The sequence below is a fragment of the Homo sapiens genome, chromosome 7 (genome assembly GCF_000001405.40).
Source record: "Homo sapiens chromosome 7, GRCh38.p14 Primary Assembly".
Lineage (NCBI taxonomy): Eukaryota > Metazoa > Chordata > Mammalia > Primates > Hominidae > Homo > Homo sapiens.
Window position 1 is genome coordinate 140,401,583 of NC_000007.14, and position 26,767 is coordinate 140,428,349.

Sequence of the window (26,767 nt, forward strand, 5' to 3'; positions counted from 1 at the left end):
TTCATGACACTGACACCTAACAGGTTTTATTTCCTGATCACACATTTGGGGCGAATCTTTACCTACACTGGATTTCCACATTGTGCTGGTGGTTCTCACCCTGCAGCAATATTTGGCAGAGTCTTTTGTTTTCTTGCTATACCTGCCAGTGTTGAGTTTATCTCACTCAGAAGAGAGTATCCTGAAAATGGATATGTAACTGGAATTTTGGGTAAGACAAATATTTTCAAATTTATCTGAAGACATCATAGAAGTAATGTTCTTGGACAGTGAATAAATTGCCCTGTATTTCAGTGCTTCTCAAACGTTGCGGACCCCAGCCTACAGTTAAAAAGACATTTCAGGCCAGGCACGGTGGCCCACGCCTGTTATCCCAGCACCTTGGGAGGCTGATGTGGGAGGATTGCTTGATCCCAGGAGTTCGAGACCAGTCTGGGTAACAAAGTGAGGCCCTGGCTCTACAAAAAAATGAAATAAATAGCTGGGCATGATGGTGCACACCTGTAGTCCCAGATATACAGGAGGCTAAGGCAGGAAGATTGCTTGAGCCCAGGAGGTTGAGGCCGCAGTGAGCCATGACGGTGCCACTGCACTTCAGCCTGGGAGACAAAGTGAGACCCTGTCTCAAAAAAAACATTTTTTTTTTACATCACCCTGTAAAATATGCATGTGTACAACTGACCCAAACATTTTGCAAAACAGTAGTCACTGTTACTACACAAGATACATTCTGAAGTTGTTTCTTAATCCCTTCTTGTGAAAATGCTGGTTGCAACCCACAAAGGTTGATTTCATGACTCATTTATAGGTCTCAGCCCACAGTTTGGAAACAGGACACCGATGTAAATATTTTATCCAACAGGGTGTCTCTGTTTCAATTTTGCTTATTGTGTCTATAATGCCATTTAACTGCCTACATATCACATCCTATGTAGTGGAGAAAATCTGGTCCCTGTGATAGACATTGGGAGGCAGTTACTGTTCTAGACTCTGGGGAAAAAATAGTAAGGAAAATTCACCTCAGCTTTATGCTTCTACTGCCAGCATCTGGGACTGATAAACTTGAGGTTTTCTGGACGTCAACCTTTGCTCTATGGTAGAATTTTTGAGGGAGTGAGGCAGACATTTTCTTTTCAGCTTTTTCTTCTCATATACCTTCAAAGTTCTTTTAGTTTTGTTTTTGCTTCCTTCTCTTTGCATCATCTCCTTTCTCTGACTCCTCACAAAGAGATATTCAGATCTACAAAACAAAGACTTAAATTACTTACAATCTGGCCAGGTACGGTGGTTTCATGCCTTGTAATCCCAGCACTTCGGGAAGCCAAGGCAGGAGGATCACTTGAGCCCAGGAGTTTCTTCTCTTTTTTTCTTTTTTTTTTTGAGACGGAGTCTCACTCTGTCACCCAGGCTGGAGTGCAGTGGCGCGACCTTGGCTCACTGCAACCTCCACCTCGCAGGCTCAAGCGATTCTCCTGCCAGAGTAGCTGGGATTATAGGCTCACCACCAGACCCGGGTAATTTTTGTATTTTTAGTAGAGATGGGGTTTTGCCATGTTGGCCAGGCTGGTCTCGAACTCCTGACCTCAGGTGATCTGCCCACCTCAGCCTCCCAAAGTGCTGGGATCACAGGCATGAGCCACCATGCCTGGCCAAACCCAGGAGTGTCAAACCACCATGGGCAACATAGGGAGATCCCAGCTCTAAAAACAATAAATAGTGGGGCATGGTGGTGTATGACTGTAGTCCCAGCTACTTGGGAGGCTGAAGTGGGAGGCTTCCTTGAGCCTGGGATGTTGTGGCTGCAGTGAGCCATAATTATGCCTCTGCACTCCAGCCTGAGCCATAGAGCAAGACCCTGTCTCTAAAAAATATGTATATATAATAAAATAAATTACTTAAGATCTATATCCTCCTTTAGTTGGTGTTATCTCAACTAACAACCCTCAGGCCAGCTGTAGTCCCAGATATTCAGGAGGCTGAGGCAGGTGGATTGCTTGAGCCCGGGAGGTTGAGGCTGCAGTGAGCCATGAATGGTGCCACTGCACTTCAGCCTGGGTGACAGAGTGAGACCTTGTCTCCAAAAAAAAAAAAAAAATTTTTTTTTTACATCACCCAGTACAATATGCACATGTACAACTGACCCAAACATTTTGCAAAACAGTCGCTGTTACTACATGAGATACATTCTGAAATTGTTTCCTAACAAGGGACACCAGGACAAATTGAGAGCAAAGGACGCAAAAGCCCACAAGACAAGGTAAAGTAGAAGAAAGGAGCAGGGGCAGTGTCGTATGGGCCAGCACTGGTTTAATTCACTGGCTGTTCCTTCCTGTGAGGGCTTTCCGCTAGGCCGGCGAAGGCTGGTGAGAAAGCCGGCTCTGCGCCCTGCCCTGTGCTGGCCGCCCTCACCTGGCGCTTTGTACCCTGAGGCAGCTCCGGACTCAGGGCAGGTGGGAGGGATTGCACTTTCCTTTCACTTTCTCAGGACGCCAAACCCGACACCTGGGGCCAGAACTACACTTCCCACCAAGCAGCGAGGCAGGAGGAAGAAGGGGGCACTGGGGGGCTGAAAAGCAAACCCAGAAGAAAGCGAAAACATTACCTGCTGACCAGCAGAGGTGAGAGAGCGAGACAGGTAAGCGACAGGTGAACCAGGAAGGCGAAGGCTGCGGGATGCCGGCGGGAGGACATCATCGGGGTGGACGCTGCCTGTGCCTCCCAGCAAGGCTTGTAGGCTCAATGAAAGGGGGCTTTAGTGGAAACCCTGAGGACTCCTGAGGGTGGGGGGAGACATGGAAGTAAAGTCTCAGCTCAAGTTACAGTGATAAGACCAAGACACCGGAAGTGGAATGGCTGTCTTTAGTTGAAAAGTCAGACAGGAAAAAAGTGGTTTGATTGTGTCTGTTGTCTGCTGGATCATCTACCCATATGTGATTTCAGAGAGGTCCAAGAGAGGTATGGGATCCTTCTTCATCGCCTTAAAGCCCTGGGTTTTTGCATGCAGATTGGACATTTGAGTGCATTTTACCTTGTGTGATGAGACAGAGTGTCCTTGTCTATGACTTTAGAGAAAACCAAAGTAAAACGGAGAGGTGAAGAAGGATGTCACAAGGCAGGGGCAATTTGCAGCACATCAAATGTAATCATTAAGTGGGATCAGGTTTCAGTTACTTTTAGAGCAATTGGATGAGGAGTCCGAACACACTCTCAGGAAGAACAGTTAAAGAGGATGGGGATATTCTCCTTGGGGGAATATTCTTGCTGCTTCAAATATCTGATGGGCTGTCATGTGGAACAGGAATGTGATGTGTCTTGGCAGAGTAAGGATAGCACGGAGCTAGACAGATGGAAACCTCATGGAGGGAGGTGTCAATCCCACAGAAGTGAGAGCTGCCCAGTGCAAAATGGAAATTTTTCAGGAGGTAGTCAGTTCCTTGTGATCAGAGATATTTAAGCATAGGTGGACATTTAAGCCAGGGATGCTGATGGTGGGAGTAAGTTTCAGGTAGGTGACTTGGTCGATTGGTGTTTTCCAAACCTGGCTCATCATCAGAATCACCTGGGGAAGAGACAGAGCAAGAGGGGAGGGGAGGGGAGGGAAGAGAGACAGAGGTTTTTGGTTTTGTGTTTTTGTTTGTTTGTTTGTTTGTTTTTTGAAACGGAGTTTCGCTCTTGTTGCCCAGGCTGGACTGCAATGGTGCGATCTCGGCTCACTGCAACCTCTGCCCTCTGGGTTCAAGCCATTCTCCTGCCTTAGCCTCCCAAGTAGCTGGGATTACAGGTGCATGCCACCACGCCCGGCTAATTTTTTGTATTTTTAGTAGAGATGGGGTTTCACCATGTTGGCCAAGCTGATCTTGAACTCCTGACCTCAAGTGATCCGCCTGCCTCAGCCTCCCAAATTGCTTGGATTACAGGTGTGAGCCACTGCCCCTGGCCTATTTCTTATTATTTTAATAGAGATGGGCGGGGAGGGGGGGCGCAGGGCTCTCATTATATTGCCTAGACTACTTTCAACCTCCTGGCGTCAAGTGATCCTTCTGCCTCGGCCTGCCAAAGTGCTAGGATTACAGGCATGAGCGACTGCGGCCTGGCGCACTAAACATATTTTAAAGTTAAAAACACAAAACACAAAACCTGGCCCAGTGCAGTTTTGAGATCATACCACTGCACTCCAGCCTCGGTGACAGAGCGAGACTCTGTCTCAAAAAAAAAAAAAAAAAAAGAATACTAAGAAATAATTTTTAAAAGAACAAGGTAAAATATGTTTAGCAAGTCTGGGATGAGCTCCAAAAATATATTTTTTCAATGATATTCCCAGATAATTCTGATAATCAGTTAGTTTGTGAAACACTGTCATTAAAAACCTTTATTTTCCAGCCGGGCATGGTGGCTCATGCCTGTAATCCCAACACTTTGGGAGGTCAAGGCGGGCAGATCACCTGAGGTCAAGAGTTCCTAACCAGCCTGGCCAACATGGCAAAACCCTGTATCGACTAAAAATACAAAAATTAGCCAGGCGTGGTGGCAGGCACCTGTAATCCCAGCTACTTGGGAGGCTGAGGCAAGAGAATCGCTTGAACCCAGGAGGCGGAGGTTGCAGTGCAGTGAGCCAAGACCACACCATTGCATTCCAGCCTGGGCAAGAAGAGTGAAACTCTGTCTCAAAAAAAAAAAAAAAAAAAAAGGAAATATATATTTTTCAATGATACTCTCAGATAATTCTGATAATCAGTTAGTTTGTGAAACACTGTCATTAGAAACCTTAATTTTCTGGCGGCGCGTGATGGCTCAGGCCTGTAATCCCAGCACTTTGGGAGACTGAGGCAGGTAAATCACTTGAGGTCAGGCATTCGAGACCAGCCTGACCAACATGGTGAAACCCCGTCTCTACTAAAAATACAAAAATTACCTGGGTGTGGTAGTGCAGGTCTATAGTCCCAGCTACTCGGGAGGCTGAGGCAGGAGAATCGTTTGAACTGGAAGGCAGAGGTTGCAGTGAGCTGAGATCATGCCATTGCACTCCAGCCTGGGCGACACAGCGAGACTCTTTGTCTCAAAAAAAAAAGAAAAAAAAAAACCTTTGGTAAAATATGCCATAACCAGCCTTTGGTAAAATATGCCATAACATTATAGCCATGGTTTTAATTTTGAATATTCTCAAAATCCTAATTTCCTGGTCAAAAAAATTAGGCTCCAAACAGAACAAAAAGGTCATGTCACTCTTCCCCAAGCTGACTTACCAATCACCTCTTATCAGTCCTCGTTGCTAGCTACCTGGATGGTCAGTAGTTTTTTGTTTTTTGGGTGTTTTTTTTTTGAGGTGGAGTTTCGCTCTTGTTGCCCAGGCTGGAGTGCAAAGGCATGATCTCGGATCACTGCAACTTCCGCCTCCCGGATTCAAGTGATTCTCTGGCCTCAGCCTCCCGAATAGCTGAGATTATAGGCATGCGCCACCACACCCAGCTAACTTTGTATTTTTAGTAGAGATGGGGTTTCTCCACGTTGGTCAGGCTGGTCTCAAACTCCCAACCTCAGGTGATCCACCCACCTTGGCCTTCCGAAGAGCTGGGATTACAGGCATGAGCCATCGTGCACGGCCTGGATGGTCAGTCTTACAGCAGTTGGGAATCTTTCTCCCCAGGTGAAATTGACACTAGTGGGACCTCCAATGGCAGGTGAGTCACTGCTGTGGGCATTTCCTCTGCCATTCTCCTGCTCTCCGGGCACTCTGATGGAGCATGTGGCACCTCGTCTCCAGGCCTAGGATATATCACTGCTTTTATCTGATGGTGTTGACCGTCCACTGGACCCACCAGAGAATGGCAGTAGAACCTCTTTATTCCAAGAGCACCCCTAAAGTAAGATCAACACACGTAGGGCAGATGTCAGCTTATGGGGACAACTCCTCTGTGCCCGACTAGCATCATTAGCATCGTCCTCTCACAAGGATGTAGCACTGTGAAGGTAATGACCTCCCTTCGTCTTGTCTTGTACTGGATCCCCAGTTCCTGGTGCTGAATTCCATCCTTTCTTCCTAGTTCTGTTCTAGGTGGCAAGAACCATGCACTTCTCCAGCTCAGCCAGGGCAGCAGATGAGAACTTTGACTATTTGTTCAAGATTATCCTCATTGGGGATTCCAATGTGGGGAAGACGTGTGTGGTGCAGCATTTCAAGTCTGGAGTCTACACTGAGACACAGCAGAACACGATTGGAGTGGACTTTACCGTGCGTTCCCTTGATATTGACGGCAAAAAAGTGAAGGTCAGAGGGCACCGGGACGGGACTGGTTCCACCTTTTTTTTTTTTTTTTTTTTTTTTTTCCTTGAGACGGAGTCTCGCGCGATCTCGGCTCACTGCAAGCTCCGCCTCCCGGGTTCATGCCATTCTCCTGCCTCAGCCTCCAGCCTCAGCCTCCCAAGTAACAGGAACTACAGGCGCCCGCCACCACGCCCGGCAAATTTTTTTTTTTTTTATGTATTTTTAGTAGAGATGGGGTTTCATGGTGTTACCAGGATGGTTTCTATCTCCTGACCTCATGATCCACCCACCTCGGCCTCCCAGAGTGCTGGGTTACAGGTGTGAGCCACCGCGCCTGGCCAGTTCCACCTTTTTTAGCCAGAATTCCCAACAACAAAGCACATGTCTGAGCAATAAAAGATTTCAGTACAAAACATGAAATCATACAAATAGTGGAAGAAAACATGGGAGTATTTATTTTCTCATCATGGAATGGGAAAATCAGGCTTTAAATGAGACACGAACCCAGAAGCCAATAAGGAAAATACTGCTGAATCTAACTGTGAAGGTCAAATTTATACATTTCTCTAACTATATAAAGGTCAAATTTGCTTTTTTGGGGGGGTGGGGGAGTGTAGACAGGGCTTTTTGTTTTTGTTTTTGTTTTCTTGAGGCAGAGTCTCACTCCATCACCCAGGCTGGAGTGCAGGAGCACAGTTTCAGCTCACTGCAATCTCTGCCTCCTGGGCTCAAGCAATTCTCATGCCTCAGCATTCCAAGTAGCTGGATTTACAGGTGCACACCACCACACCGGGCTAAGTTTTGTATTTTTAGTAGAGATAGGGTTTCACTATGTTGGCCAGACTGGTCTCGAACTCCTGACCTCAAGTGATCCGCCCACCTCTACCTCCCAAAGTGCTGGGATTACAGATGTGAACCACCACACCCAGCCTGAGACAGGGTCTTGCTCTGTCACTCAGGCTGAAGTGCAGTGGCACAATCACAGCTCACTCCAGCCTCCATCTCCCCGACTCAAGCGATCCTCTCACCTCAGCCTCCTGAATAGCTGGGACCACAGGTGCACCCCACCATGCCCAACTCCTTTTTTAAATTTGTTGTAGAGACAGGATTTTCCTGTGTTGCTCAGGCCAGTCTCAAACTCCTGGGCTCAAACAATCCTCCCACTTCACCCTCCCAAAGTGCCGGGATTACAGGCGTGAGCCACCAAACCTGGCCTTAAAAGGTCAAATTTTCTAGTGGCCAGGCAAGGTGGCTCACACCTGTAATCCCAGCACTTCGGGAGGCCGAGGCGGGTGGATGACTTGAGGTCAGAAGTTCAAGACCAGCCTGGCCAACATGGTGAAACCCTGTCTCTACTAAAAATACAAAAATTATCCAGGCATGGTGGCGCGTGCCTGTAGTCCCAGTTACTTGGGAGGCTGAGGTACAAGAATCTCTCAAACCTGGGAGGCAGAGGTTACAGTGAGCCGAGATCATATCACTGCACTCCAGCCTAGGCGACAGAGTGAGACTCTGTCTCAAAAAAAGAAAGAGGTCAAATTTTCTGTGTACTCAAAAATGCCATAAACTGCCAGGCACGGTGGCTCATGCCTGTAATCCCAGCACTTTTGGAGGCCGAGGCAGGCGGATCACCCAAGGTCAGGAGTTCAAGACCAGCCTGGCCAACGGGGGGAAACCCCATCTCTACTAAAAATACAAAAAAATTAACCGGGCGTGGTGGCACATGCCTGTAATCCCAGCTGGTCAGGAGGCTTGAGGCATGAAAATTACTTGAACCCAGGAGGCAGAGGTTGCAGTGAGCTGAGATCACACCATTGCACTCCAGCCTGGGAGTCAGAGCAAGACTCTGTCTCAAAAAGATAAAATAGGCTGGGCGTGGTGGCTCACGCCTGTAATCCCAGCACTTTGGGAGGCCGAGGTGGGTGGATTACGAGGTCAGGAGATTGAGACCATCCTGGCTAACACGGTGAAACCCCGTCTCTACTAAAAATACAAAAAATCAGCCGGGCCTGGTGGCGGGTGCCTGTAGTCCCAGCTACTTGGGAGGCTGAGGCAGGAGAATGGCGTGAACCCGGGAGGCGGAGCTTGCACTGAGCCGAGATCATACCACTGCACTCCAGCCTGGGCAACAGAGCGAGACTCCGTCTCAAAAAAAAAAAAAAAAAAAAGATAATAAATAAAAATTTAAAAAATTAAAAAATACTTCAAAGAAATCAACAGAAAGGGCTAGATGAAGCAAGTAACAAAATCTCATTAATTATTGAATCTGGGTGATAGGTGTATGAGGTTCTTTTTTTATGTTTTTGAGACAGGGTCTCACTTTGTTGCCCAGATGGAGGGCAGTGGCGCATGATCTCAGCTCGCTATAGCCTCGACTTCCTGTGCTCAAGGAATCCTCCTGCCTCAGTCTCCCAAGTAGCTGGGACTACAGGCATGCGCCACCATGCCCAGCTAATTTTTGTATTTTTCTTTTTTTTTTTTTTTTTTTTTTTTGAGACGGAGTCTCGCCCTGTCACCCAGGCCGAACTGCGGACTGCAGTGGCGCAATCTCGGCTCACTGTAAGCTCCGCTTCCCGGGTTCACGCCATTCTCCTGCCTCAGCCTCCCGAGTAGCTGGGACTACAGGCGCCCGCCACGGCGCCCGGCTAATTTTTTGTATTTTTAGTAGAGACGGGGTTTCACCTTGTTAGCCAGGATGGTCTCGATCTCCTGACCTCATGATCCACCCGCCTCGGCCTCCCAAAGTGCTGGGATTACAGGCGTGAGCCACCGCGCCCGGCCTTTTTGTATTTTTCGTACAGATGGGGTTTCACCACATTGCCCAGGCTGGTCTCAAACCCCTGAGCTTAAGCGATCCGCCACCTCAGCCTCCCAAAGTGCTGGGATCACAGGCATGAGCCACTGCACCCAGCCTCATTTTTCTATTATCTCTAGCTTTGGTGTATGTTTGCAAACTTTCTCTAAAAAATAAATTTTATATAAATAGTATGAGAATATGAAGAAATTGCTACCCTCAGACACTGTGAGAGGCTGTGTGAATTGGTGCTGCCGCTTGGGTGGCTAATTTGGGAGGTATTATTGTGAGAACATTCCAAACATGAACAGCTTGAGTGTTCCTTTAAAATCAGAACAGTTCGGCCAGTATTATCACCTTTGCCAGTATTCAGATCCACGGGCAGACTCAAAAGATGAGCCCCCAAATCTGGACCAAGTGATGAGTCAGGAGAAAAGGCAAAGAACACAAGACCCCAGGATAAAATAGGCCCACCTCTCGGCCGGGCGCAGTGGCTCACGCCTGTAATCTCAGCACTTTGGGAGGCCGAGGCCAGCAGATCACAAGGTCAGGAGATCGAGACCATCCTGGCTAACACGGTGAAACCCCGTCTCTACTAAAAATACAAAAAAATTAGCTGGGCATGGTGGCGGGCGCCTGTAGTCCCAGCCACTCGGGAGGCTGAGGCAGGAGAATGGTGTGAACCTGGGAGGCGGAGCTTGCAGTAAGCTGAGATGGCGCCACTGCACGCCAGCCTGGGCGACAGAGCGAGACTCCATCTCAAAAAAAATAGGTCCATCTCTCTGACAGCAGCATCCCTTAAATCGGCTGTCCAAGCTTCTGGTTTCCCTGGGCCATGTTGGAAGAAGAATTGTCTTGGGCCACACAAATTACACTAACACTAATGATACCTGATGAGCTAAAAAAAAAAAAAATGCAGAAAAACTCATAATATTTTAAGAAAGTTTGAAAATTTGTGTTGGGCTGCATTCAAAGTTGTCCTGGGCCAAATGTGTCCCGTGGGTTGCGGGTTGGACAAGCTTGTCTTAGATGGTCGTTCCCCAACCAAGGAGGATATCCAAGTCATCCAGGGAGCAACTGAAAGAATAGATCCCTGGGTCCCACCCCAGATCTACTGGGTCTGAATATCTAGAAGTGAGACCCAGAAAACTGTGTTTTTAAGAAGATGTAGGTGAAGGAGTTCCCATTACCTGTGGGAACCCCTGATTTGGACTCTCCTTCCTGTCCTTCTCCAGATGCAGGTGTGGGACACAGCTGGCCAGGAGCGCTTCCGCACCATCACCCAAAGCTACTACCGCAGTGCCCACGCAGCCATCATCGCCTATGACCTCACCCGGCGGTCCACGTTCGAGTCCATCCCTCACTGGATTCATGAGATAGAGAAATATGGAGCTGCAAATGTGGTCATTATGCTGATTGGTATGGCATTTTTGAAGTTTTTAACTTTTGTTTACTCTCCTCTGAGGATGCTCAGCTTTCTGCATGTTTCTAATGACAGTGGAAAATGAAATCTTAAAAGTGTAAGTGATGCAGCCGGGCACAGTGGCTCACACCTGTAATCCCAGCACTTTGGGAGGCTGGGGCGGGCGGATCACGAGGTCAGGAGATCCAGACCATCCTGGCTGACACGGTGAAACCCCGTCTCTACTAAAAATACAAAAAAATTAGACAGGCGTAGTGGTGGGCGCCTGTAGTCCCAGCTACTCGGGAGGCTGAGGCAGGAGAATCGCTTGAACCCAGGAGGCAGAGGTTGCAGTGAGCCGAGATTGTGCCATTGCACTCCAGCCCGGGTGACAGAGCAACACTCCGTCGGGGGGAAAAAAAATGTGTAAGTGATGGATAGGGCCTCAGAAAGTGCCTTTAAGCTGGATGCCACCATGCCCAGCCCATTTTTTTTTTTTTAATTTTTTGTAAAGACGGGGTTTTGCCATGTTGCCCAGGCTGGTCTCGAACTCCTGGGCTGAAGTGATCCCCCTGCCTGGCCCTCCCAAAGTGCTGGGATTACAGGCATGAGCCATTGTGCCTGGCCCTTTATTTTTATTTTTGACATCTCTACTGCAGAGTGAACAGGTGAGTTTTGTTTTTTAATTTTTTATGGGTATCTAGTAGGTATATCTATTTATTGGGTACAGTGGGTTCTTAAAAAGAAAGAAGAGGCAATTTCTAAGTGTTTACCAATAATTTACATTAAAATACATAAACATAGATGGGGCGTGGTGGTTCATGCCTGTAATCCCAGCACTTTGGAGGGCGAGGCAGGTAAATTGCTTGAGCCCAGGGTTTCAAGACCAGCCTAAGCAACATGGCAAAACCTCATCTCTACAAAAAATAAAAAAAATTAGCTGAGCGTGGTGGTGCACACCTGCAGTCCCAGCTACTCAGGAGGCTGAGGTGGGAGGATTGCTTGAGCCCAGCAGGCAGAGGTTACAGTAAGCTGAGACTATACCATTGCACTCCATATGGGTATCCAGTTTTCCCAGCACCACTTATTGAAGAGACTGTCCTTTCGCCAACATATGTTCTTAGCACCTTTGTCGAAAATGACTTTACTGTAGATGTATAGATTTATTTCTGGATTCTGGATTCTGTTCCATTGGTCTATGTGTCTGTTTTTATCAGTACCACACTGTTTTGGTTACCATAGTTCTGTAGTATAATTTGAAGTCAGGCAATGTGATTCCTCTAGGTTGGTTCTTTTTGCTCAGGGTAGCTTTGACTATTCTGAGTCTTTCATGGTTCCATATAAATTTTAGGATAATCTTTTCTATTTCTGTGATGAATGTCTTTGGGCCAGGCACGGTGGTTCATGCCTGTAATCCCAGCACTTTGGGAAGCTGAGGCGGGAGGATAGCTTGAGACCATCCTGGTCAACATAGTGAGACTTCATCTCTACAAAAACTAAAACAAAACAAAATAGTGAGATGTGGTGGCACAGGCCTATAGTCCCAGCTACTTGAGAGGTTGGGGTGGGGGGAATCACTTGAGCCTGGGAATTTGAGGCTGCAGTGAGCTGTGATCATACCACTGCATTCCAGCCTGGGTGAGAAAGCAAAACCTGGTCTCTTAAAAAATAAATAAATAAATAATAAAAGGCAACTGTTATGTCCTAGTAGAGCAAAGATGGGAGAGCTGTGCCATGGCATACAAACGGCCGGGGTGGACAGGTAGATGCAGCCCATGCCCTCCAGGGACAAAAGGAAACCCAGCAATGGTGGCTCCCAGAGAAAGGCGGAATGCACGCATCTCACTTGGGAATGAAGCAGTTCTAAGCTACATGCGGTTTCCCCAGGAATGTGGACCAGATCCACCTTTGTATTAAGGTCATGCATCTCGAGGACACAGTGGAGGCAGTTCTTCCTCAGGGCTGAGTGGGAAGCTGCCCAACCTCAGATGCCTCCCTCTGTGCTACCTTCTCTCTTTTTTTGAGACGGAGTCTTACTCTGTTGCCTAGGCTGGAGTGCAGTGGCATGACCTCGACTCACTGCAATCTCTGCCTCTCGGGTTCAAGCAATTCTCCTGCCTCAGCCTCCCAAGTAGCTGGGATTACAGGCTCCCGCCACCACACTCAGCTAATTTTTATTTTAGTAGAGACAGGATTTCACCATGTTGGCCAGGCTGATCTCGAACTCCCGACCTCAGATGATCTGCCTACCTCAGCCTCCCAAAGTGCTGGGATTACAGGCATGAGCCACCACCCCCGGCCCCTCTGTGCTATCTCTGAAGGCAGCGACCTGTCTCCAGCCCACAGGATCCCAGCTGCCTCTCCCCCAGCCAGCTCCGTCTTTAATCACTCTGTGAAACAGATGCATCAGAGAAGGGTGACAGATGCCAGGATGTTGCAGGATTTCCAGGAATCTCAGAATGTTTGCTTGGTATTTATACCCTAGTCTGTCTTTCATAACAAGCATCTCTGCCTCACTTCTTCCTTGGTTCTAGAAATGCCCCCAAAGATGATTTGGAGTGTCCTAGTCTCCCAGTTTATAAGGTGTCCATGCCAGAGGGCTGACACAGCAGCCTTCCTGTTTTCTGTTCGTGGCCTCCCTGCCTGAATCCAGAAAAATTCGTGTTGTCCCTCACGGAAGTGTCCCGGCACACATTGCCTCATACACGTGCTTCTTTCTGTCTCAGAAGTTTATCCCCAGCTCCTTGAAGCCACTTTATCAGCACAGGAATGACCCCGGTGTCAGGGGTTGATTGCATGTTGATTTATACAGCTGTTCCTCCTCTAGCTGGCTACAGGGGGCCCAGCTCCTCCTAATGTCCCCATGTAAAACCCTCAGAGGCCCCCATTTCCCTTAGAATGATGTACATATTCCTGAACATGGTTCACAAGGTACTTCAGGTCCCAGCCCTGCTTTCTTCTGGGGGTGTCTGGCTTCCCATCTTTCTCCTACCCTCACTCCATCAGACCTGACCTCTTTTTTTTTCTTTTCTTTTCTTTTCTTTTTTTTTTTGAGACAGGGTCTTGCTCTGTCGCCCAGGCTGGAGTGCAGTAGTGCAATCTCGGCTCACTGCAACCTCCACCACCCGGGTTCAAGTGATTCTCCTGTCTCAGCCTCCCAAGCAGCTGGGATTACAGGCACCTGCCATCACGCCCAGCTAATTTTTGTGTTTTTAGTAGAGACAGGGTTTCACCATGTTGGCCAGACTGGTCTCAAACTCCTGACCTCAAGTGATCCACACACCTCGCCTCCCAAAGTGCTGGGATTGCAGGGAGCCAACCTTTTTTGTAGGTTATCCTGGATGCTCTGTCTCATAACTTTCTTCAACATCTGATATTTGTCCCTCTAAAGATCTCAGCCAAACTTTCCACTTAAAGTCCTGTTATATTACAGGTCCACAATCACTCAACAAAAACCCTCAGGGCCAAATATTTCAGAGTTCAGAATTTGTCAGATTTTAGAAAAATGTACTCTGTGTTACATAACACCCTCAGCAGGGTCTGGGCCAATGCCGCATGGCCAAATACATTACTATTTATGCAGTCAGATGTGTAAATAGTCATACAGAGCAGGTTGAATAAAATCTTCAATGCTGGGCATGGTGGCTCATGACTGTAATCTCAGCACTTTGGGAGGCCAAGGCGGGCGGATTATTTTGTAATAAAAATACAAAAATTAGCCAGATGTGGTGGTGCACGCCTGGAGTCCCAGCTACTCAGGAGGCTGAGGCAGGAGACTTGCTTGAACCCGGGAGGCGGAGGTTGCAGTGAGCTGAGATCACACCAGTGCACTCCAACCTGGGTGACAGAGCAAGACTCTGTCTCAAAAAAAAAAAATTATTCAAGCCAGGTGTGGTGGCTCACGTCAGTAATCCCAGTAGTTTGGGAGGCTGAGGTGGGGGGTTGCTTAAGGCCAGGAGTTCAACATCAGCCTGGGCAACATAGCAAGACCCCATCTTTATTTTTATTTTTAAAACAAACAGCCGGGTGCAGTGGCTCACGTCTGTAATCCTAGCACTTTGGGAGGCCAAGGCGGGCAGATCACCTGAGGTCGGGAATTCGAGACCAGCCTGACCAACATGGAGAAACCCCGTCTCTACTAGCTGGGCTTTGTGGTGGGCACCTGTAATCCCAGCTACTCAGAAGGCTGAGGCGGGAGAGTCGCTTGAACCCAGGAGGTGGATGTTGCAGTGAGCCAAGATCACACCATTGCACTCCAGCCTGAGCAACAAGAACAAAACTCTGTCTAAAAAATCAATCAATCAATCAAACAAAAAAAAACTTCAAATAGCTAGTTTAGCTCAGATTTTACTGTCAAATGAATTATCAAGAAATGCACTGGTTACAGCTGCCCAGGAGTGGAGTTTCAGAGTTTAGGGGATTTGGGGGTTGTATACCAGTACTACAAACAACTCATGCAGCTCACCGGGTCCATAGCATATGTTATTTTATTGCTGTCTTGGATTGGTACATTCTTGTCTGGCCATTTAATGTTCTGTGTGTCTGTCTTGCCTCCCTAACAAAATGAAGAAGCCCTTCCTTGGGGCAGGGCCGTCTGTCACTGTGCACTTAGCAAACTTCAGATCCTTTCCCTTCCTCCAGGCACCTGGCTCACCCCAGAGTGTGCAGCCCTGGCTGTTGGCGGGTGGACCCGTGGACATCAGCACTGTTGATCTAGTTGTGGTGGAGGAGCAGGTGGAAGGAGCAGGTCATAAAAGTTAGAATCCAGCTGGGCGCCGTGGCTCACACCTATAAATCCCAGCACTTTGGGAAGTTGAGGTGGGAAGATTGCTTGATGCCAGGAGCTTGAGATCAGCCCAGGCAACATAGTGAGACCTCCGTCTCTACAAAAAATAAAAAATTAAGCCGGGTGCGGTGACTCACACCTGTAATCCCAGCACTTTGGGAGGCCGAGGCAGGTGGATCACTTGAGGTCAGGAGTTTGAGACCAGCCTGGCCAACATGGTGAAACCCCATCTCTACTAAAAATACAAAAAAAAAAAAAAATCAGCCAGGTGTGGTGGTGAGTGCCTATAGTCCCAGCTACTTGGGAGGCTGAGGCACAAGAATCACTTGAACCTAGGAGGCAGAGGCTGCAGTGAGCCGAGATCGCACCACTGCACTCCAGCCTGGGTGACAGAGCGAGACTCTGTCTCAAAAAAAAAAAAAAAAATTAGCTGGACTCAGTGGTGTACGCCTATAGTCTCAGCTACTCTGGAGACTGAGGTGGGCACATTGCTTGAGGCTAGGAGTTCAAGGCTGCAGTGAGCTATGACTGAGCCACTGTGCTCCAGCCTAGGTAACAGATGGAGACCCTATCTCTTAAAAAAAAAAAAAAAATCAAATCCACAGATGGAGTGGGATGCAGGGAGTAGATCAGATTCCTGGCTGCAGGGGTTCCTTTTCCCACCACATCCCTTCTTCCACCAGGGACTGTCATTCCTTTCTTCTAGAAGCAGAGCTCAGCCCAGAGCTTCAGGCTCACCAGCTAAAAACACACGCATGGTTCTCTTGAAGGTGCATGCTATACGAGCTTCCTGTGGCTGCTGTAACCAACTGCCACGAGCTGGGGGCTGAAAACAACAGATGTGTTCACCCACTGTTCTGGAGGCCACAAGTCTGAAATCAGTCCTGCGGGGCTGAAATGGAGGTGTCAGCAGGGCCGTGCCCCTCTGGACGCTGTAGGGGAGACTGTCCCTCGCCTCCTCTGGCTTCTGGTGCCATCTTTGGCTCTGTGTGCCTCACCTTTTCCTGCCTGTGTGGGATCAAGTCTCCCTCTACCTCCCCCTTGTAAGGTTACTTGTGATTGCATTCAGGGCCTGCCCAGCTAGTCCAGAATAATCTCCCCATCTCAAGATCCTCAAATTAATCACACCTGCAAAGACCCTGTTAGCATTGACAGCTGCCTGAGGCCAGAGCCTGGTCTCCATGGGCCCCCGTTCCTAGCCTATTGTAGCACTCAAATGTGCTAATGTCTGCTGAAAATGGTCTTGGATTTAAACTTCTTTGGGGATCATTATGATCTAAGTCCAGCTTTGACACTGGGCAGGTTGGTGACAGTGACTATGGGAAAAGATTTTCAAAATATTTTTTATTGGGACATATTAATGTATATAAAGAAAAGTACACATTAATTTATCTCAAAGGGAACAGCTGAGCAAACACCAGCTGGGTCAAGACAGAGAATATTGGCCAGGTGCAGTGGTTCACACCTGTAGTCCTAGCACTTTGGGAGGCTGAGGCGGGTGGATTGCCTGAGCTCAGGAGTTGGAGACCAGCCTGGGCAACATGGTGAAACCCCGTCTCTGCTAAAATACAAAAAAAAAAAAAAAAAAAAAAAAAATTAGCCGGGCGTGGCAGTATGCACCTGTATGTAGTCCCAGCTACTCGGGAGGCTGAGGCAGGAGAATTGCTTGAACCCGGGAGGCAGAGGTTGCGGTGAGCCGAGATTGCGCCACTGCACTCCAGCCTGGGTGACAGAGACAGACTCTGTCTCTTAAAAAAAAAAAAAAAGAAGAATATTGACTGGGTGTGGGCTCACACCTGTAATCCCAACAGGGATTTGGGAGGCAGAGGTCGGACCAGCCTGAACAACATAGGGAGACCCGATCTCTACAAAAAAATTACAAATTAGCTGGGTATGATGGCATGCGCCTGTAGTCCCAGCTACGCAGGAGGCTGAATTGGGAGGATTGCTTTAGCCCAGGAGGTAGAGTCTGCAGTGAGCTGTGATCACACCACTGCACCACAGCCTGGGTGACACAGTGAAACCCTGTCTCAAAAAAAAAAAAAAAGAATATTGCCAGCCCACTCTTCTCCCCCACCAGCTTTCACTTTATTACTCCACACTCCTTCTGCCCCAAAGGCAAGTGCTTTTATGATAAACACTTCTTTGCTTTTTTCTTTTTTAATCATTTTACTACCTAAGCCCACATCCCTAAATACTGCAGTTTTGTTTTGGTGGGTTTTTTGTTTGTTTGTTTTGTGGTTTGTTTTTTTTTTTTTTTTGAGATGGAGTCTCACTCTGTTGCCCAGGCTGGAGTGCAGTGGCGTGATCTCAGCTCACTGCAAACTCCACCTCCCAGGTTCAAGTGATTCTCATGCCTCAGCCTCCCAAGTAGCTGGGATTACAGGCATGTGCCACCACGCCCAGCTAATTTTTGTATTTTTAGTACAGATGCGTTTTACTATGTTGGCCAGGCTGGTCTTGAACTCCCCACCTCAAGTGATCCACCCACCTCAGCCTCCCAAAGTGCTGAGATTACAGGTGTGAGCCACTGTGCCTCGTCTTGTTTTGCTATTGTTTTGTACGTTATATATAAACAAAATCATACCTTTTTGCCTAAGTTTCTTTCCCTCAATATTGTTTAACAGTTTCATCCATCGTTGCATGTGGCTGTAATCTATTCTTTTGTATAATTCGTATACTATTCCTTTGCAAGAACACCCTACAGAGTATTTCTCTGTTCTCTTGGCAATGGACATTTGAGTTGCTTCTATTTTGGGGCAACTAGGAAAATTGCTGCTCCGAACATTCTGGTATATGTTTATTGATGCCGATGGGCACACATCTCTGTTGAGTAATACCCAGGAGCAAAATTGCATGGTCATGCAGCTCTAGATAATCTCAAACCACTTGCCAGAGTGGTCGTTCTAGTGTGTACTCCCATCAGCAGTGTGTGTGGGTTTCAGTTGTTCTACATCCTCACCAACATCTGGTGCTATTAGTCCTTTTACTTCCATGCATCCTGAGAAGTGTGTCATGAGATCACTAGTGTTTTTCATTTGCATTTCCCTGTTTATTAATGAGATTGAACACCTTTTCAGGTGTTTGTTAGCTATTCGGATATCCTCTGTTGTGAAATACTTTTCAAGTCCAAGGCCTATTTTTCTGTTTGTTATCTTTTTCTTGTCAATTCCTAACAGTAGCTTATATCTTCTGAAAATGAGTCTGTGTCAGTGTGGGTCCTCCAGGAAGCAGATGTTGGGACAGGATGAGATAGACATGCAAGAGATTTACTGGGAGAAACAGCTGTGAGGGATAAAGAAGAAGGAGCAGGGCTGGGCACAGTGGCTCATGCCTGTAATCCCAGCACTTTGGGAGGCCGAGGCAGGTGGATCACCTGAGGTCAGGAGTTCGAGACCAGCCTGGCCAACATGGCGAAACCCCGTCTCTACTAAAGATACAAAAAATAGCTGGGCGTGGTGGTGGGCGCCTGTAATCCCAGCTACTCAAGAGGCTGAGCCAGGAGAATCGCTTGAACCCAGGAGGCAGAGGTTGCAGTGAGCTGAGATCGCACCATTGCACTCCAGCCTGGGCAACAGAGTGAGACTCCATATCAAAAAAAAAAAAAAAAAAAGAAGAAGAAGAAGGAGCAGAAGGAGGCAGGGAGTCTTCTATGAGATGTAGACCTGCCCCTGGGAAGGAGAGAACGGAGGAAGGATGGCTTAGTAGGTAGGAAGAGTCTTAGACTAAGCACAATTCAAAGAAAGTTTATTTTTCAGGCAGTGGGGTGCTCAAAAGCCAAGGTTGCCTGATAGAGGAATCGAATCCTGCATCCTGCAGCATGGATGTGCATGAGTGCCCTCATGGTATGGGGGATGGGGTGCTGTCCCCACTAGGGCGCTGCACTAGGGTCCTGTTGGGCTGTCTGTGACCTGCATTCTGGGCACTAGGTTCTCTTGAAGGAGGCCCCAGCCCTTTGTCAGTTACATATGTTGCAAACATCATCTTCCACCCTGTGGAGTAACTTTTCCCTCTCTCTTCTTAAAAATACCTGAAGGAAGGAATATTTTGGTTTTCTTATTTTTTATTTTATTTTTATTTTTTTGAGACTGAGTCTTGCTCTGTCGCCCAGGTTGGAGTGCAGTGGCGCGATATTGACTCACTGCAACCTCCACCTCCCGGGTTCAAGCAATTCTCCTGCCTCAGCCTCCTGAGTAGCTGGGATTATAGGCGCCCACCACCACACCCAGCTAATTTTCGTATTTTTAATAGAGACGGGGTTTCACCATGTTGGTCAGGCTGGTCTTGAACCCCTGACCTCATGATCCACCCGCCTTGGCCTCCCAAAGTGCTGGGGTTACAGGCATGAGCCACCACGCCTGGCCTTTTATGTTTTATTTTTTATAGATAGGGTCCAACTCTGTCACCCAGGCTGGAGTGCAATAGTGCCATCCTAGCTTACAGCAGCTTCGAACTCCTGGGCTGAAGCAATCCTCCTGCCTCAATCTTCCAAGTAGCTGGGACGACAGGCACATTCCAACATGTCCAGTTAGGTTGTTTTGTTTTGTTTTTTGAGACAGAGTCTTGATCTGTGACCCAGGCTGGGGTACAGTGGCCCAATCTTGCTTCACTGCAACCTCCACCTCCTAGGTTCAACGATTCTCATGCCTCAGCCTCCCAAGTAGCTGGGATTACAGGCACGTGCCACTACGCCCAGCTAATTTTTATATTATGAGTAAAGATGAAGTTTCACTATGTTGGCCAAGCTGGTCTGAACCTGGCCTCAAGTGATCCACCAACCTCAGCCTCCCAAAGTGCTGAGATTACAGGTGTGAGCCACCATGCCCAGCCCCAGCTAGTTTTTTATTATGTTTTGTAGAGATGGGGTCTTGCTGTATTGCCCAGGCTGGTCTTGAATTCCTGGGCTCAAGTGATCCTCTTGCCTCGGCTTCCCAAACCACTGGGTTTACAGGCATGAACCACTATACCCAGCCTTTTCGTCTCTTGATGGTGTATTGTGATGAACAGACACTCTTAATTTTAATATATTTCAATCTATTGATCTTTTCTTTAATAATGATTGCTTCCTGTGTCCTATTTAGGAAATTTTTTCTTAATTGAAATCATCAAGATTATATTACCTTTTAAAGTTTAATTGATTGATTATTATCATTACTCTGCCTTTTACATTTAGATCTACCTGTAATTGATTTTTTGTGTATGGTGAAAGGTATGGGTCCAAAATTTTTCTGTATAAAGATCTAATTGTCTCAGTACCATTTACTAAAAAGGCAACCTTAGCCAGGCACAGTGGCTCACGCCTGTAATCCCAACACTTTGGGAGGCTGAGGTGGGCTGATCACCTAAAGTCAGGAGTTCAAGACCAGCCTGGCCAACATGGTAAAACCCCATCTCTACTAGAAAAATACAAAAATTAGCTGGGCGTCGTGGTGGGTGCCTGTAATCCCAGCTACTCGGGAGGCGGAGGCAGGAGAATCACTTGAACCTGGGAAGTGGGGGTTGCAGTGAGCCAAGATCATGCCACTGTACTCCAGCCTGGGCAACAGAGTGAGACGCTGTCTCAAAAAAAAAAGGCAACATTTTCCACTGCTCTGTGGCACCATCTTTTTGTAGAGTACACATTTATACATGAGTTTGTTTCTGAGCTGTTTTTCCTCTCCATTGATCTAGTCCATTCATGCTCTTGGGAGTGAAAATATCCTCAATATTACAATGGTTTATGGCCCTCCAAAGGGCCATACACAGTACATCTGTGGTATTACATTTTCATAGGCCAAGATCACTCCACTGCACTCCAGCCTGGGCAACAAAGTGAGACCCCATCACCAAATAAAAAAAAATTAGCCATGGGTGGCGGTGCATGTCTGTAGTCCTAGTGATTTGAGAGGCTGACTGCTTGAGCCTAGAACGTTAACGCTGCAGTGAGCTATGATCATGCTACTGCACTCCAGCCCAGGTGGCAGGACAAGACCCTGTCTCAAAAAAAATGAATAAATAAAGGCCAGGCACCGTGGCTCACACCTGTAATCCCAGCACTTTGGGAGGCCAAGGCGGGTGGATCACTTGAGGTCAGGAGTTCAAGACCAGCCTGGCTAACATGGTGAAACTCTGTCTCTACTAAAAATACAAAAATTAGCCAGGCATGGTGGTGTATGCCTGTAATCCCAGTTATTCGAGAAGCTGAAGCGGGAGAATCTCTTGAAACTGGGAGGCGGAGGTTGCAGTGAGCCAAGATAGCACCACTGCACTCCAGCCTGGGCGACAGAGCAAGGCTCTGCTCAAATAAACAAATAAATAAATAAGGTAGATGGTTAAACAAATATTGGTCCTTGGCTGGGCGTGGTGGCTCACGCCTGTAATCCCAACATTTTGGGAAGCCAAGGTGGGCAGATCATCTGAGGTCGGGAGTTCAAGGCCAGCCTGGCCAACATGGTGAAGCTCTGTCTCTACTAAAAATACAAAAATTAGCTGGGCATGGTGGCATGCGCCTGGAGTCCCAGCTACTCAGGAGACTGAGGCAGGAGAATTGCTTGAACCTGGGAGGCAGAGGTTGCAGTGAGCCAAGATGGTGCCACTGTACTCCAGCCTGGGTAACAGAGAGAGACTACATTTCAAAAAAAAAAAAAACACAAATGTTGGTCCATGCATACTATGGAATACTACTCAGCAATAAAAACTACTAGTGGTATACAGAAAACAAACTACTGATTTATACAACAACTTGAATGGATCTCAGAGGAATTATGCTGAGTGAAAAAAGACAATCTCAAAAGGTTACATATATGAATCCATTTATATAATATTCTGGAACTAGAATAGATTGGTGGTTAGCAGGGGCGGAGGACCGGGGGTGGTGAGAGTTATAAAGGAATAGCATGAAAGAGAGCTTTGTGAGAATAGAACTGTTCAGTGCTTTGACTGTGGTGGTGATTGAAGGAATCTACGCATGTGATCAAATTGTGTATAATTACAAACATACACACAAATAAGTGCTTGGGACATTTATTCATTTCATGACAAGAAACTTTTTTTTCCTTTTTTTTTAAGACAGAATTTTACTCTTGTTACCCAGGCTGGAGTGCAGTGGCACAATCTTAGTTCACTGCAACCTCCGCCTCCCGGGTTCAAGTGATTCTCCTGCCTCAGCCTCCTGAGTAGCTGGGATTACAGGCGCGTGCCACCATACCCAGCTAATTTTTTGTGTTTTTAGTAGAGACGGGGTTTCACCATGTTGGCTGGGATGGTCTCAAATTCCTGACCTCAGGTGATCCACCCGCCTCGGCTTCCCACAGTGCAGGGATTGCAGGCGTGAGCCACTGTGCCTGGCTGATAATTTTTTTTTTTTTTTGACATGCCGTTTCGCTGTTGTCACCCAGGCTGGAGTGCAATAGTGCGATCTCAGCTCACTGCAACCTCTGCCTCCTGGGTTCAGGTGATTCTCCTGCTTCAGCCTCCCAAGTAGCTGGGACTACAGGCATGCACCACCACACCCAGCTAATTTTGTATTTTTAGTAGAAATGGGGTTTCGCCATGTTGGCCAGGCTGGTCTCGAACTCCTGACCTCAGGTTATCCACCCACCTCGGCTTCCCAAAGTGCAGGGATTACAGGCATGAGCCACCAAGCCTGGCCTCATGACAGGAAATCTGATTAAAGTCTGTGGATAGCACCAATGTCAATTTCCTGGTATTGATAATGTGCTATAGTTATACAAGATATTACCATTGGGGGAAACAGGGTGAAGGGTAAACTGGACCTCTCCCTCTCTCTCTCTCTCTCTCTCTCTCTCTCTCTCTATATATATATATATATATATGTGTGTGTGTATATATGTGTGTGTATATATATATATATATATACACATATCTATATATACATATATAATGACTTCCCATATATCTATAATTGTTTCAAAATAAAAGGTTTAAACATGTTTTATGGAAGAAGGGGGAATTATGGAAAAAAATATCTACAGAGGCTCTTGTGGGGACAGGAATGAAAACCAGGTTGAGAAACAATAGTCTAGCTTGTCTTAATTACTACAGTTTTGTAATAAATCTTGATGTCTGGTAGAAGAAATCCTGTGGGAAAGTAATTTTATCTTTAGATTCCTGCCTCAGGGAAATCAAAGGCAAACTTTTATTGTATGTAAATTATAGCTTTCTCAGAAAGTCCTTTAGGCCAGGTGTGGTGGTTCATGCTTACAATCCCAGCACTTTGGGAGGCCAAGGTGGGCAGATCACTGGAGGCCAGGAGTTCAAGACCAGCCTGGTCAACATGGTGAAACCCTGTCTCTACTAAAAATACAAAAATTAGCCAGGCGTGGTGGCATTGGCCTGTAATCTCAGCTACTCGGGAGTCTGAGGCACGAGAATCGTTTGAACCTGGGAGGCAAAGGTTGCAGTGAGCTAAGACTGCACCACTGCACTCCAGCCTGGGTGACAGAGTGAGACTCCATCTCAAACAAAACAAAACAAAACAAAACAAAGTCTTCCCTTATGCACCTCCAATCCAGCAAATCCTGATCACAGTCTACTCAGCTAAATGAGCTCCATCTCACACAGCATCCAACACTCTGCTGTTTGAGGGGGAGAAAAAGAGAGTAAAAAGAGGAGCAAGGGCCGGGTGCAGTGGCTCATGCCTATAATCCCAGCACTTTCGGAGGCCGAAGCAGGCGATCACCTGAGGTCAGGAGTACAAGACCAGCCTGGTCAATATGGCAAAACACCTTCTCTACTAAAAATACAAAACTAGCCGGGCGTGGTGGCAGGTGCCTGTAATTCCAGCTACTTGGGAGGCTGAGGCAGGAGAATCGCTTGAACCTGGGAGACGGAGGTTGCAATGAGCCAAGATTGCGCCATTGCACTCCAGCCTGGGCGACAAGAGTGAAACTCCATCTCAAAAAAAAAAAGAAACAAAAAAATGTGCCCTCAATGACCATTTGTGAATGAATGCATGCATGCCTATTGAAGAACTAAAATGTTACTTGTAAAGTTCATTTTGAAAGAAACCAGATTAAGTTACTCAATGGAATATCGGCTTATCTTTTCCTTCCAGGAAATAAATGTGACCTCTGGGAAAAGCGGCACGTCCTGTTCGAGGATGCCTGCACACTGGCTGAGAAGTACGGCCTCCTGGCCGTTTTGGAGACATCTGCCAAGGAGTCAAAGAACATAGAAGAAGTCTTCGTGCTCATGGCCAAGGAGCTGATCGCGCGCAACAGCCTGCACCTATATGGGGAGAGTGCCCTGAACGGCCTCCCCCTGGACTCCAGCCCCGTTCTTATGGCCCAGGGTCCAAGTGAAAAGACCCACTGCACTTGCTAAGATGTTTGCAAAGCCAGTTGCACCCACCAAAGAGGCCGCCTCTGAAACCAAAGGTAGCCAGGATACCGTAGTGTTGCCCCAGTGGCGCTTTAGACCCCAGCGTGGACTTGCCGCTCACCCCTAATCCTCCCAGTCTGGATGGGCCACACTTCTCCCTTGACTCACACCACAGGTCATAGCTGCTGACTCTCAGGAAAACCAGCACCATTGTTTTCACTGACTCTTGACTCCTGGAGAAGGCAGGACTTCAGGCTAGGAGAGGGAGGACGAAGTGTACTCTTCTCCCCTTTCACTTTTCTGTCTCCCTAGAGCTTCTGCTGCTTTCTACTGAATTTTGTTTCTTGCTTGAAGAAGAGGGTAGTGAAGGAAAGGAGGAAGGCAAAACAGCAAGAGAGAGAAGAGGCTGTTTGGAACATTCTGGAACAGTTTGAAACAGCTCAGGCAGGGAGAATGGAACGAAAGCCTGCAATGAGAAACCAGAATGCTGCTATCATTTTGTTCCTGACATTCACACCTCAGGTCTTCACTTTGGGGAGCGAAGCCTTTTAGCAGAAATACCAGAAGTACCATCTTGCCAAATGGTCAGGAACTGTCTGATAGAGATGGAACTGGAATTCACTCTATTCTAGCAGGGCTGACTTGGCCACCCTCTTGGGATAGGGGAAGACACCTGCAATTTTTTTTCTTTCTTTTTTTTTTTTTTTTTTTTGAGACAGGGTCATACTCTGTCACCCAAGCTGGAGTATAGTGGTGGGATCTTGGCTCACTGCAACCTCTACCTCCTGGGTTCAAGAGGTTCTCCCACCTCAGTCTCCCAAGTGGCTGGGACTACAGACACACGCCACCACTCCTGGCTAATTTTTGTATTTTTTGTAGAGACAAGGTTTCACCATGTTGCTCAGGCTGATCTTGAACTCCTGAGCTCAGGTGATCTGCCCACCTTGGCTTCCCAAAGTGCTGGGATTACAGGCATGAGCCACCATGCCTGTTCTTTTTTTTTTTTTTTTTTTTTGAGACTGAGTCTCACTCTGTCACTCAGGCTGGAATGCAGTGGCATGATCTCGGCTCACTGCAACCTCAACCTCCACCTCCTGGGTTCAAGCAATTCTCCTGCCTCAGCCTCCCAAGTAGCTGGGACTACTGGCACTCACTACCACGCCCAGCTCATTTTTTTTGTATATTTAGTAGAGACTGGGTTTCACTACGTTGGTCAGGCTGGTCTTGAACTCCTGACCTCATGATCCACCCGTCTCGGCCTCCTAAAGTGCTGGGATTACAGGCATGAGCCACCATGCCCGGCCCTTTTTTTTTTTTTTTTGAGACAGAGTTTCGCTCTTGTTGCCCAGGCTGGAGTGCAATGGTGTGACCTCGGCTCACTGCAACTTCTGCCTTCCAGATTCAAGTGATTCTCCTGCCTCAACCTCCCTAGTAGCTGGGATTACAGCCTCCCGCCACCACGCCTAGCTAATTTTTGTGTTTTTAGTAGAGGCAGGGTTTCACCACGTTGGCCAGGCTGGTCTCGAACTCCTGACCTCATGATCCACCTGTCTCGTGGCCTCCCAAAGTGCTGGGATTACAGGTGTGAACCACCGCACCTGGCCTTTTTTTATTATTATTATTGTAGAAATGAAGTCTTGCTACGTTGCCCAGGCTGGTCTCCAATTCCTGAGCTCACAGGTTTCTCCCACCTCAGCCTCCCAAAGTGCTGGGATTACAGGCATGAGCCACCATGCCTGGCACAATTTCTTTCTAGAACCCAAATCATCTGCCAGATCAGAAGTCATTTTTAAATTAAAATTAAATTGGTTCATAGATGAATATCAAGCCAGTGTTGTACTGCCCCTTCTGTAAGATATGGCCAGAGAGCAGCTGGTGCCTTCTGGGATGGAGTAACTGCGGCTTTCAGAACTAAACACGTAAGAGGAGGCTGGAAGTCACCAGGCACCCCTCGTTTCCAGGACTGTGTTAGGGGACATCAGGGCAGGCAGCAGGAGCAGGCCACGGAGCCCCTCCAGGGTCCCAGGGAACTGTGGACACTCACCTGGGGCTTCCGGAGGACAAACACCACTTATGATTGCAGCTGACATTTACTGAGCTGCTTCTCATGGCCAGAAGTTGTGTGAGGTCTGGGGAAAGCAAATGGTCCCTTTGGTTTGTGATGCCAGTGGAGGGGAAAAGAGGTACCAGCCGCATTCTGCT

At 47.5% G+C, this 26,767-nt stretch overlaps 1 protein-coding gene and 1 long non-coding RNA gene across 7 annotated transcripts, besides 2 other annotated features; one reads left to right on the plus strand and one right to left on the minus strand.

Annotated features, from left to right (window-relative positions):
• Positions 1-2,886, minus strand: LOC124901759 (uncharacterized). Its single transcript, XR_007060561.1, has 2 exons — positions 2,603-2,886; positions 1-1,240 (listed from the first exon to the last, which is right to left on the minus strand). It is a non-coding gene; the product is annotated as an uncharacterized LOC124901759 (long non-coding RNA).
• Positions 2,049-2,550: an enhancer, noted in NCBI's record as "H3K4me1 hESC enhancer chr7:140103431-140103932 (GRCh37/hg19 assembly coordinates)". NCBI's record gives its function as "activates a minimal SCP1, AML or CMV promoter by ChIP-STARR-seq in primed H9 embryonic stem cells {active_cell/tissue: H9 hESC(primed)}" and the evidence as "EXISTENCE:reporter gene assay evidence [ECO:0000049][PMID:30033119]".
• On the plus strand, positions 2,476-26,392 carry RAB19 (RAB19, member RAS oncogene family). Of its 6 annotated transcripts, none has more exons than NM_001008749.3 (4): positions 2,476-2,635; positions 6,042-6,265; positions 10,292-10,475; positions 24,300-26,392. In NM_001008749.3, the coding sequence occupies exons 2-4, from the start codon at positions 6,065-6,067 to the stop codon at positions 24,566-24,568; spliced, it is 654 nt and encodes a 217-aa protein (NP_001008749.2). In that variant the 5' UTR covers positions 2,476-2,635; positions 6,042-6,064; the 3' UTR covers positions 24,569-26,392. The 6 variants fall into 6 exon arrangements, with proteins under 6 accessions (NP_001008749.2, XP_005250054.1, XP_005250055.1 ...); XM_005249997.4 differs by having other exon boundaries at positions 6,042-6,229; XM_005249998.4 differs by having other exon boundaries at positions 6,042-6,229; positions 10,298-10,475.
• Positions 2,551-3,050: an enhancer, noted in NCBI's record as "H3K4me1 hESC enhancer chr7:140103933-140104432 (GRCh37/hg19 assembly coordinates)". NCBI's record gives its function as "activates a minimal SCP1, AML or CMV promoter by ChIP-STARR-seq in primed H9 embryonic stem cells {active_cell/tissue: H9 hESC(primed)}" and the evidence as "EXISTENCE:reporter gene assay evidence [ECO:0000049][PMID:30033119]".
• Positions 26,393-26,767: the final 375 nt, after the last annotated feature.